This window comes from Homo sapiens, chromosome 15 (genome assembly GCF_000001405.40).
Source record: "Homo sapiens chromosome 15, GRCh38.p14 Primary Assembly".
Lineage (NCBI taxonomy): Eukaryota > Metazoa > Chordata > Mammalia > Primates > Hominidae > Homo > Homo sapiens.
The window spans coordinates 76649664-76663081 of record NC_000015.10 but is presented as its reverse complement, the minus strand read 5'-3'; the positions used below and the strand labels follow the sequence as shown (position 1 = coordinate 76663081).

Genomic DNA, 13418 nt, shown 5'->3' with positions numbered 1-13418 from the left:
ACTGCAAGTTATCAGACAGATGTATGTATTGAGATGTCTTTTCTCTCATTCTGGAGCTTACATATACATTTTCTTTATAATAGCTTTTGATAAGCAAATTTTTTTTATTTTAATGATATATGCTTTATCAGTATTTTTCTTTTATGTCTAGTGCTTTCTGGGTGTGTCTAAGAGATCTTTGCCTGCCCAGAGGTCAAAAGATACTCTATCATATTTTTTTCTAGAACATTTGTAATTTTAGCTTTTGCATTTAGGCTTATAGTCCATTTAAAATAAATTAGTAGGCATGATATAAAGTATGGGTCCAGGTTTATTTTTCTATAGATAGCCTGCTCTACTACCATTTTTGAAAAGATTTTTCTTTTCCATATGGCTTAGCACCTTGATTTAAAAAAATCTATCATATATGTGTGATTCTGTTCTGGACTCTATTGCATTCCATTGATGTCTAAGTTTCTATTTTGAAACCTTGATAAAAATGTAAATCTGCCCTATTAGTTTAAATATATTTCTGGACTCTCAGTTCAGTTCTATTTCATTGATAAATTTATCTTTAAACTCTCTTGATTTCTATAGCTTTGTAGAAAGTCTTCAAATAAAGTAGAAGTCCTTCAATGTTTTCTTTTTTGAGCTTGTTTTGCTTATCTCAGGACTGTGCAATTTTTATATAAATAGTAGGATCAGTTTTTTACTTTCTTTTGTTGTTGTTATTGTAACTGATTTTATTTTATTTTTATTTTATTTTACTATAAGTCCCAGGATACACGTGCAGAATGTGCAGGTTTGTTACATAGGTAAACATGTGCCATGGTGGTTTGCTGCAACTATCAACCCATCATCTAGATATTAAGTCCAGCATACATTAGCTATTTGTCCTGATGCTTTCTTTCCTCTCGACCCCTGACAGACCCCTGTATGTGTTGTTCCCCTCCCTGTGTCCATGTGTTCTCATTGTTCAGCTCCCACTTACGAGTGAGAACATGCAGTGTTTGGTTTTCAGTTCCTGCATTAGTTCGCTGAGGATGATGGCTTCTAGCTTCATCCATGTCCCTGCAAAGGACCTGATCTCATTCCTTTTTATGACTGTATAGTATTCCATGGTGTATATGTACCACATTTTCTTTATTCAGTCTATCATTGATGGGCATTTGGGTTGGTTCCATGTCTTTGTTATTGTGAATAGTGCTGCAACAAACATAAGTGTCCATGTATCTTTATAATACAATGATTTATATTACTTTGGGTATATACCCAGTAATGGGATTGCTAGATCAAATGGTGTTTCTGGTTCTAGATCCTTGAGGAATCGCCACACTGTCTTCCACAATGGTTGAACTAATTTACATTTCCACCAACAGTGTAAAAGCATTCCTATTTCTTCACAGCCTCCCCAGCATTGTTTTTTTCTTGACTTATTAGTAATCGCTATTCTGACCGGCATGAGATGGTATCTCATTGTGGTTTTGATTTGCATTTCTCTAATGATCACTGATGTTGACCTTTTTTTAATATATGTTTGCTGGCCGCATAAATATCTTCTTTTGAGAAGTGTCTGTTCATGTCCTTGGCCCACTTTTTGATGAGGTTGTTTTTATTTTCTTGTAAATTTGTTTAAGTTCCTTGTAAATTATGGATATTAGACCTTTGTCAGATGGGTAGATTGAAAAATTTTTCTCCCATTCTGTAGGTTGCCTGTTTGCTCTTATGATAGTTTGTTTTGCTATGCAGAAGCTCTTTAGTTTAATTAGATCTCATTTGTCAATTTTAGCTTTTGTTGCAGTTGCTTTTGGCGATTTCATCATAAAATCTTTGCCCATGCCTGTATCCTGAAAGGTACTGCCTCTATTTTCTTCTAGGGTTTTTATGGTTTTGAGTTTTGGGTTTTACATTTAAGTTAGTTTTTTACTTTCTAAAATAAGAAAGCCTGTTGGGATTTTGATTAGGATTGCATTGAAGCTATAGCTCAGCTTGGCAATAACTGACATTGTGATAGTATTGTATTGGGTCTTCCAGTTCATGATTATGGTATATTCTCTGCATTTCCTTAGAGCTTCTTCATAAAATTTCAGTAATGTTTTGTGATTTTTAGTGTATAAGTGTTACACATGGAATATCATTTAAAACGTTATTTTGTTTTCATTTTTACTTATTTCTTGCTAGTTTATAGAAACAGTTTTTTTTTTGCGTATTAACCTTATATTCTGGGACATTGCCAAATTGACTTATAAGCTCTAATTAGTTTTTTTGGTAAATTTATAAGATTTTTAATGTACATGAACATGGTATCTGGGAGTGAAAAGTTTTGTTTCTTACTTTCCAATTTGTATACTGTTTTTACTATCATACTACACTGTCTTGTACCCTCAGTAAAATACAGAACAGAAGCCTTGATCCTGTTGTTAGGGAGAAAGCAGTTTTTCACCATTAAGGGATGATGTTAACTGTAGTTTGTTTTTGTTTTTATTTTTTTAGATGTCCTTTATCAGATTGAGGAAGCTTTCTTCTATTCTTAGTTTCTTGAGAGTTTTCATCATAGATCTATGTTCCATGTTCCCATAGACAACCTAAAACCATGTTTTTGCTATTGTAAATACTGCCTTGATGACCACATGAGTGTATGCCTTTTTTTCCCCCTAGAGAAGAGGGGAGCACACCTTTTAAATTATTTGTTTATTATTGTTTTAAATTTTTATTTTAGGTTCAGGGGTATTTGGGCAGCTTTACTGCATAGGTTAATTGCATGTCACAGGATATTTGCTGTATAGATTATTTTGTCATCCAGGTAATAAGCATAGTAACCAATAGGTTGTTTTTTTATCTTCAACATCCTTGCACCCTCCATCCTCAAGTAGGCCCCAGTGTCTGATGTTTCCTTCTTTGTATCCATGTGTATTCAGTGTTTCACTCCCACTTATGAGAACATGTAGTATTTGGTTTTCTGTTCCTGCATTAGTTTGCTTAGAATAATGACCTCCAGCTTCATCCATATTGCTGCAAAGCATGCAACCTCATTCTTTTTTATAGGTGCATAGTATTCCATGATACATATGTACCCCATTTTCTTTGTCCACTCTCCCATTGATAGGCATTTAGGTTGATTCCATGTCTGCCATTATGAATAGTGCTGCAATGAACACAGACATACATGTGTCTTTATGGTAGAAAGATTTATATTCCTATGGGTATATACCCAATAATGGAATTGCTGGGTCAAATGGTTGTTCTGTGTTCTTTGAGAAATCTACAGACTGCTCTGCACAATAACGGAATAATTTACATTCCCACCAACAATATATGAGCATTCCCTCACCAACAGTATATAAGCATTCCCTGTTTTCCACAGCCTCGCCAGCATTTATTTTTTGACTTTTTAAATAATAACCATTCTGACTAGTATAAGATGATATCTAATTATGGTTTTGATTTCCATTTCTCTAATGAATAGTGATGTTAAACATTCTTTCATATGCTTGTTGACCATGTGTTTGTCTTCTTAAAAATGTGTCTGTTCCGGTTGGGTGTGGTGGCTCGCGCCTACAATCCCAACACTTTGGGAGGCTGTGGCAGGAGGATTGTTTTAGGCCAGGAGTTTGACATCAGCCTGGACAATATAGCAAGACCCTGTTTCTACAAAAAATGAAAAAGTTAGCAGTGCATAGTGGCATCCCCTGTGGTCCCAGCTTCTCAGAAGACTGAGGCAAGAGGATCACTTGAGCCTGGGAGGTCGAGACTGCAGTGAGCTGTGATTGTACCACTATACTCCAGCCTGGGCAACAGAGCAAGACCCTGACTTTAAAAAAAAAAGTGTGTCTGTAATATTCTTTGCCCACTTTTTAATGAGATTGGTTTTTTGCTTGTAAATTTGTTTAAGTTCCTTATAGGTTCTGAATATTAAACCTTTGTCAGATTCATGGTTTGCAAATATTTTCTCCCAGTATGTAGGTTGGCTGTTTACTCTGGTAATATTTTCTTTACTTGTGTGGAAACTCTTTATTTTAAATAGGTCTCATTTGTCAATTGTTTGTTGTTGTTGTTGCAATTGTTTTTGGCTTCTTCATCATGAAATATTTACCAGGTCCTGTTTCCAGAATGGTATTTTCTAGGCTATCTTCTAGGGTTTTTATAGTTTGATGTTTCACATTTAAGTTATTTAATCCATCTTGAGTTGATTATTGTAAATGGTGTAAATAAGAGGTTCAGTTTTAGCTTCTGCATATGGCTAGCCAATTACCCCAGCACCATTTAATGAATAGAAATTCCTTTCCCCACTGCTTGTTCTTGTCAACTTTGTCAAAGATGAGATGGCTGCAGGTGTGCGGCATTTTTTCTGCACTCTCTTTACTGTTCCATTCATCTATGTTTCTGTTTTTATACCAGTACCATGCTGTTTTGGTTCATGGCCTTGTAAGGTATAGTATGAAGTTGGGTAATGTGGGTAATGTGATGTCTTCAGCTTTGTTCTTTTACGTAGGATTGCTCTGGCTACTGGGGCTCTTTTTTGGTTCCGTATGAGTTTTTAAATAATTTTTTTCTAATTTTGTTAAGAATATCATTGTTAGTTTGATGGGAATAGAATTGAATCTATAAATTGCTTTGAGCAGTATGGCCATGTTAACAATAGATTCTTTCTCTCCATGAGCATGGAATATTTTTGCCTTTGTTTATGTCATCTCTGATTTCTTTGAGCAGTGTTTTGTAATTCTTGTTGTAGACATTTTTCAACTCCATGGTTAGCTGTATTTCTAGGTATTTCATTCTTTTTTGTGGCTATTGTGAATGGGATTGCATTCTTGAATTGGCCCTCAGCTTGGATGTTGGTGTGTAGAAATGCCACTGATTTTTGTACATTGATTTTATATCCTGAAATGGTACTGAAGTTTTTTATCAGATCTAGGAATTTTGGGGTAGAAACTATGGGGTTTTCTAGGGATAGTATCATATCGTCAGCTAATAGAGATAGTTTGACTTCCTCTCTTCCTATTTGGATGCCTTTTATTCATTATTTTGCCTGATTGCTCTGGTTAGGATTTCCAGTACTATGCTGAATAGGAGTGGTGATAGTGGGAATCCTGTTTTGTTCCATTTCTCAAGGGCAGTGCTTCCAGCTTTTGCCTGTTCAGTATGATATTGGCTGTGTGTTTGACATATACAGTTCTAATTATTTTGAGGCATATTCCTTTTCTGCCTAGTTTGTTGAAGGTTTTTAACATGAAGCGATGTTGAATTTTATTGAAAGCCTTTCCTGCATCTATTTAGACGATCATATGATTTTTGTTTTTAGTTTTGTGTATAGATGAATCCTATATATTGATTTGTGTTTGTTGACCAACCTTATGTCCCAGGGATAAAGTCTATTTGATCATAGTGGGTTAGTTTTTTGATGTGTTGCTGGGTTTAGTTTGCTAGCATTTTCTTGAGGATTTTTGTATGCATGTCATCATGAATAATGGCCTGTGTTCTTTTTTCTTTCTTTCTTTCTTTTTTTTTTTTTTTGTTGTTGTGTCTCTGCCAGATTTTGATATCAGAATGATGCTTGGCTCATAGAATGAGTTAAAGTGTCCCTCCTCCTCATTATTTGGAATAGTTTCAATAGTAATAGTACCAGCTCTTCTTTATACATTTGGTGGAATCTGGCTCTAAATCTGGTCCTGGGCTTTTTCTGGTTCATAGGCTTTTTATTACTGATTCAGTTTCAGTCCTAGTTATTGGGCTTTTTAGGATTGCAATTTCTTCCTCATTCAATCTTGAAAGGTTGTATGTTTCCAGGAATTTATCAATTTCTTCTAGATTTTCTAGTTTGTATGCATAGAGGTGTTTGTAATAGTCTCTGAGGGATGTTTTACATTTCTGTAGGGCTGGTATTAATGTTCCCTTAGGCATTTCTGATTGTGCTTATTTGGATCTTATGTCTTTTTTTCTTTATTAGTCTAGCTAGTGGTCTATCAGTCTTACTTTGTCTGTCAAAAAAATCAACTCTTGGATTTGTTGGTCATTTGCATGATTTTTTCTCATCTCAGTTTTCTTCAGTTGAGCTCTGATTTTGATTATTTCTTGTCTTCCACTAGCTTTGGGGTTGGGTTCCTCTTCCTCTACTTCATCTGGATGTGATGTTAGGCTGTTAATTTGAGATCTTTCTAAGATTTTGATGTGGTAGTTTAGCACTATAAACTTCCCGCTTAACACTGCTTTAGCTGTGTCCCAGAGATTCTGGTATGTCATATCTTTTTTTCTCATTAGTTTCAAATAATTTCTTGATTTCTGCTTTAATTTTATTGTTTACTCCAAAGTCATTTGGGAGCAGGTTGTTTAATTTCCATTTCATTGTATGGTTTTAAGCACTCTTCTTAGAATTGATACCTACTTCTGTGGTGCTGTGGTCTGAGATTGTAGTTGGTATGATTTTGGGTTTTTGAATTTGTTGAGAATTGTTTTATGGCTCACTGTGTGGGTGATTTAGACCATGTGCCTTGTGCAGATGAGAAGAATGTGTATTATGTTGTTTTGGGGTGGAGAGTTCTCTAGATATCATTAGGTCCATTTAATGAAGTGTCAAGTTCAGGCCCCGAATATCATTGTTAGTTTTCTGCCTCAGTAGTCTGTTTAATGCTGTCAGTGGGGTACTGAAGTCTCCCACTATTATTATGTGGTTTTCTAAGTCTTTTCATAAGTTTATAAGAACTTGTTTTATGAATCTATGTGCTCCTGTGTTTGGTGCATACATGTTTAGTATAGTTAGGTCTTCTTGTTGAATTGAATCCTTTACTATTATGTAATGCTCTTCTTTGTCTGGTTTGTTGTGGATTTAAATTCTATTTTTTTCTGGAATTACGGTAGCAACCCCTGCTTTTTTCTGTTTCCTGTTTGTTAGATTTTTCTCCATCCCTTTACTTTGAACCTGTGGCTATCACTGCTTGTGAGATGGGTCCATTGAAGACAACATATGGTTGGGTCTTGCATCTTCATCCACCTTGCCACTCCACCTTTTAATTGAGGGCATTATTTTCATTTACATTTAAAGTTAATATTGATACATGCAGATCTGATCCTGTCACGTTGTTAGCTGGTTATTATGCAGACTTGATTGTGCAGTTGCTTTATAGTGTTAGTGGCCTACATACTTAAGTGTCTTTGTTTGTTTGTTTTTGTGGGCCATGATAATCTTTTCTATTTCCACTATCTCTTAAGGACCTTTTTTAAGGCAAGTCTGTGGTAATGAATTCCCTTAGCATTTGCTTGTCTGAAAAGGATCTTATTTCTCCTTCCCTTATGAAGCTTAGTTTTTCTAGATTTAAAGTCCTTGGTTGGAATTTCTTTTAATAATGCTGAATATAAGCGTCCAATCTCTTCTGCCTTATAGTGTTTCTGCTGAAAGATCCACTGTTAGCCTGATGAGTTTACTTTGTGGGTGACTGCCCCTTCTCTCTTGAGGATTTTTGTACGCATGTTCATCATGGATAATTCTTCCTTTCACTTTGATTGTGGAGAGTCTGATGACTGTATGTCTTGCACATAGTTGTCTTGTGTAGTATCTCACAGGGGTTCTCTGAGTTTCTTGAATTCGAATGTTATCCTCTCTAGAGTTTGGGGAAATTTTCATGGATGATGTCCTCAAATATGCTTTCCAGGTTGCTTGCTTTTTCTCTCCTTCTCTTTCAGGGAGATCAATGAGTCATAGATTTGGTCTCTTTACATAATCCCATATTTCTCAGAGGTTTTGTTCCTTCTTCTTTTTTCTTTATGTTTGTCTGATTTAATTTGGAAAACTAGTCTTCATGATCTGAGATTTTTTTCCTCAGCTTGGTTGATTCTGCTCTTAATTCTTGAAATTTTATTATGAAATTCTCAAAGTGAGTTTTTTGCCTGTATCAGATCAGTTTGGTTCTTTCTTAAAATGACTGTTTTGTCTCTCAGCTCCTGTATTATTTTGTTGTATTCCTTAGAATCATTGGATTCAGTTCACACTTTCTCCTGAATCTTGATGATCTTCATTCCTTTTCATCTTCTGAATTCTGTGTCTGTCATTTCAGCCTGGTTAAGAATCATTGCTGTTGTTAAGAATTAGTGCTGTTGTTTTGAGGTAAGAAGATACTCTGGCTTTGAGATACCGTAGTTCTTGCACTAGTTCTTTCTCAGCTCTGTGAGATGTTGTTTCTTTAATCTTTGAAGTTGCTATCCTTTTTCCTTTTAGCTTCTTTGCTGCCCTTGGAGGTTTGATCATGGTATGAAGTGGATTCACTCCACCAGCTTTGTTAGCTAATGGCATTCAGGCCCCCTGCAACCAGACCCAAAATTGTAAAAGAGTAAGCCACCTTGGTAGGACCTGGTGAGCCAGGCCAGGGAAAGCAGGATGCCTGAGTCAGGGACTTGTCCCACTCATATTTGCTGCCTGGTGGCCTTGGCAACCACTTCCAGATTTCTGCAAATGTCTTTTTTGTAGAATGATTATTTTATTTGGGGTATATACCCAGTAATGGAATTGCTGGGTCGAATGGTAGCCCTGTTTTAAGTTCTTTGAGAAATCTTCAGACTGCTTTCCACAGTGGTTGAACTAATTTACATTCCCTTTGTAAGCATTCTCTTTTCTCGGTAGCCTCACCAGAATCTGTTGTTATTTGACTTTGTGGTAATAGCATTGTTAGTGGTATGAGATGGTATCTCATTGTGGTTTTGTTTTGAGACGGAGTCTCGCTCTGTCACCCAGGCTGGAGTGCAGTGGTGTGATCTCGGCTCACTGCAAGCTCCGCCTCCCGGGTTCACGCCATTCTCCTGCCTCAGCCTCCCGAGTAGCTGGGACTACAGGCGCCCACCACCATGCCCGGCTAATTTTTTGTTTTCGTAGTTTTAGTAGAGACAGAGTTTTACCGTGTTAGCCAGGATGGTCTTGATCTCCTGACCTCGTGATCAGCCCGCCTTGGCCTCCCAAAGTGCTGGGCTCATTGTGGTTTTGATTTGCATTTCTCTGATTATTAGTGATGCTGAGCATTTTTTCATGTTTCTTGGCCACTTATATATCTTCTTTTGAGAAGTGTCTGTTCATGTCTTTTGTCCAGTTTTTAATGGGTTATTTTCTTTGTTGATTTGTTTAAGTTCTCTGTAGATTCTAGATATTAGGCCTTTGTTGGATGCATAGTTTCTGAATATCTTCTCCCATTCTGTTTGTTGTCTCTTTGCTCGGCTGATAGTTTATTTTGATGTGCAGAATCTCTTTAGTTTAATTATGTCCCACTTGTTGCTTATTCTTGTTTTTGTTGCAATTGCTTTTAGGGACTTAGCCAGAAATTATTTGCCAGTGGTGATGTTGGGAAAAATATTTGCTAGGTTGTCTTCTAGAATTTTTGTAGCTTGAGGTACTTTTCAATCTTTAATTCACTTGAGTCAATTTTTGTATCTGGTGAAAAGTAGGGGTCCAGCTTCAATCTTCTGCATATGGCTATTCAGTTATTCCACCACCATTTATCGAATGGGGAATTCTTTTCCAATTGCTTGTTTTTATCTCCCTTGTTGAAGATGAGATGGTTGCAGATGTGTGGCTTTATTTCTGAGTTTTCTGTTCAGTTGGTCTATGTGTCAGTTTTTGTACCAATACCAAGTTATTTTGTTTACTGTGGCTTTATAGTATAGCTTGAAGTTGGGTAGTGTGATTCTCCGGCTTTATTCTTTTGCTTAGGATTGCTGTTGTTATTTGGGCTCTTTTTTGGTTCCATATGAATTTTAGAATCATTTTTTCTAATTTTGTGAAGAATGACATTGGCAGTTTGATATGAATAGCATTATATCTGTAAATTGCTTTGGGCAGTATAGCCATTTTTACCCTATTGACTCTTCCAATCCATGAGCATGGAATGTTTTTCCATTTGTTTGTGTAATCTGTAATTTTTTTTCGGCAGTTTTGTAGTTGTTCTTTTAGAAGTCTTTCTCCTCCTTGGTCAGCTATATTCTTAGGTATTTCATTTTTCGTGTGGCTATTATGAATGAGATTGTGTTCTTGATTTTACGCTCAGCCTAGATGTTGTTAGCAATGCTACTGATTTCTGTTCATTGATTTTGTATTCCGAAACTTTACTAATGTCATTTATCAATTCTAGGAGCCCTTTGTCAGAGTCTTTATGATTTCCTAGGTGTAGAATCATATTGTCAGCAAAGAGAGGTAGTTTGATTTCTTTTCCTATTTAGATACCTTTTATTTCTTTCTCTTTCCTGATTGCCCTGGCTAGGACTTCTAGTTCTGTGTTGGATAGGAGTGGTGAGAGTGGGAGTCCTTGTCTTGTTCCAGATCCAAGCAGAATGGTTCTAGCTTTTGCACCTTCAGTATGATGTTGGCTGTGGGTTTATCGTAGATAGCTCTTACTATTATCATTATTATTATTTTTTGAGACAGAATCTCCCTCTGTCGCCCAGGCTGGAGTGCAATGGTACGATCTTGGCTCACTGAAACCTCTGCCTCCCCGCTCTAAGTGATTCTCCTGCCTCAGCCTCCCGAGTAGCTGGGATAACAGGCACCTGCCACCACACCCGGCTAATGTGTGTGTGTGTGTGTGTGTGTGTGTGTGTGTGTGTGTGTGTATGTATGTAAATATATATATATATATTTAGCAAAGACACGGGGTTCACCATGTTGGCCAGGCTGGTTTCGAACTTCTGACCTCAAGTGATCCACCTGCCTCAGCCTTCCAAAGTGCTATATATATATATATATATATATATATATATGTGTGTGTGTGTGTGTGTGTGTGTGTGTATATATGTGTATGTGTGTGTGTGTGTGTGTGTGTATATATATATATATATATATATATATATATATATATTTTTTTTTTTTTTTTTTAGCAGAGACACAGCGTTCGCCATGTTGGCCAGGCTGGTCTCGAACTCATGACCTCAAGTGATCCACCTGCCTCAGCCTTCCAAAGTGCTGGGATTACAGGCTCACGTGAGCCCTCATGCCTGGCCTTATTTTTAGTTATGTTTCTTTGATGCCTAATCTGTTGAAAGTTTTCATCATGAAGGGGTGTTGGATTTTATCAAATGCTTCCACTGCATCTATTTAGATGGTTATATGGAATTTGCTTTTGATTCTGTTTATGTGGTGAATCACATTTATTGAGTTGCTGATTGAACCAGCCTTACATCTCAGGAATAAAGCTTACTTGATTTGTGGTGTGTTAACTTTTTAATGTGCTGCTGGATTTTATTTGCTAGTATTTTGTTGAGGATTTTTGCATCTGTGTTTGTGAGGGATGTTAGTCTGAAGTTTTTTTTTTTTTTTTCCATTGTGCCTCTGCCAAATTCTGGTGTCAGTCTGATTCTAGCTTCATAGAATGAGATAGGGAGAGGTCTCTCATCTCCAGCTTTTTGGGAATAGTTTTAGTAGGATTGGTGTCATTTCTTCTTTGTATGTCTGGTAGAATTTGGCTGTGAATCTATCTGGTCAAGGGTTTTTTTTTTTTTTTTTGGTTGGTAGGTTCTTTGTTACTAATTTAATTTCTACATTGATACTGCTTTATTCATGATTTCAATCTCTTCCTAATTCAGTCTTGTGCTTGGATTGAATTAGGAAGATTGTGTGCTTGCATTGAAAAAATGCAATTTTAAAACATGACAAGTATGCTCACTCTCACTACTCCTATTCCACGCAGTACTAGAAGTCCTAGCCAGAGCAATCAGGAAAGAAAAATAATTCAATCTTGTGCTTGCATTGAGTTAGGAAGATTGTGTGCTTGCATTGAAGAAAATTGCATTATTTTTCTTTTAATTCCTGTATGCTTTTTAGTGACATCCTCTCTTTCATTACTGAAAATTTTAATTTGTCTTTTCTTCCTTCGTTCCCCCCGATCTCTGGTCTAGAATTTATCAATTTTGTTAATCTTTTGAAATAACAAATTTTTGCTGCATTTGATTTTTGTTTGTTCGTTTTTATTTCATGTTCTTTATTATTTTTTACTTGTATTTACTTCATATTTATATTTTCTTTTCCCCTGATTTCTTAAGGTGGCCTCTGAGATTATTGATTTGAAAGCTCTTTTTTTATAATATATGTAATTATAGCTATCACTTTCCCTCTAATACCTACTTAACCTACATTCAACATATTTTAATATGTTGTATTATTTTGATATAGTTCAAAATATTTCTAATTTGACTTTTAATTTCTTTGACCTATTGATTACTTAGAAGTGTTTTGTTGAATTTCCAAACATTTGAACTTTCCAGATATCTTTTTGTCTTTAAGTGTTGATTTAATTTTCTGTGGTCAGAGAAGATACTGTGTATAATTTCATTCCCTTTAAAAATATTAAGATTTGTTGTATTTCTCAGCAACTGGTCTGCCTTGGACAATATTGCTTATTTACTTGAAATGCACTTATATTGTGCTTATTATAGGTGTACTTTCTATGTCAGTTAGGTCTATGTGGTTAGTACTGTTAGAATATTCTGTAATGTTCTATCTGTAGTATTGTCTCTCTGATATTGTTCCATTTGTTTCTTCAAAAAGAATGTCCACATTTTCAATCATTATTATGTTTAAAAAATTTTCTTCCTTCAGGTTTTTTCCAGTTTTTCTTCAAATTTTGAAACTTTGTTATTAGATATATATACAAATTTAGAAGTATATATTCTTGACAAATTGTTCCCTTTCCCATTATCAATTTTCCTTCTTCATATCTTCTTCTAATTCTCTTTATCCTAAAACCTACTCTGTGTAATATTAATAGCATTATTTCTATTTTTTAAAATTTGTTTTTTGCATAGTATCTTTTTCCTTTCTTTTCCTTGTAAATTTTAACTATGTCTCTTTATATTTAATGTGTAACTATTATAATCATGTAATTGAATCTCCTTTTTTCACCTAGTCTGGACATTTGTCTCTTCATTGATTTATTAGCTCTACCACTTTTTATTTTTAGTGTTTGCTCAGTTTCAAATATGTATCTTTTAACCATCACAGTATGCCTTCAAATAATATTATAGTATTTCAGTTACTATTGTAGAACCTTGCAACAATTTATGCGTCCATCTTCCTTTCCTCTGCCTTTTGTGTTACTGTTATCATACATTTTACTTCTTCATGTAACAAATCCTGCATTTTAATTTTGTTCCAATCTTTCAGTTATCTTTTAAATAATTTAAGAAACCATTTGTTATGCTCTTTGCTTCTTCATGTAGTTCTGAATTTTTATGTGGTGTCATTTTCTTTCATCTGAATAACTTCCTTTAATGTTTTTAATAGTTCAGGTCTACTGACAGTAGGTTTTCTTAGCATTTGTTTGCCTGAAAACGTCTATTTAACCTTTATTTTTGAATGAAATTTTTAATGGATGTAGAGTTCTGTTATGACATTTTTTTTCTTTCATCTCTTAAACATGTTATTGTGTTTTTTTAATGGCTTTGGTTGTTTCTGATCAGCAGAGAACACACAT

The 13418-nt window shown here is 35.3% G+C and overlaps 1 protein-coding gene across 26 annotated transcripts in view, besides 1 other annotated feature; it reads left to right on the top strand.

The window, feature by feature from the left end:
* Nucleotides 1-13418, top strand: part of SCAPER (S-phase cyclin A associated protein in the ER) — a 557437-nt gene that overhangs the window by 242259 nt on the left and 301760 nt on the right. The window lies entirely within an intron of this gene.
* Nucleotides 8548-8747: a silencer, noted in NCBI's record as "silent region_6689". NCBI's record gives its function as "represses an Ori minimal core promoter by ATAC-STARR-seq in GM12878 lymphoblastoid cells {active_cell/tissue: GM12878}" and the evidence as "EXISTENCE:reporter gene assay evidence [ECO:0000049][PMID:35858748]".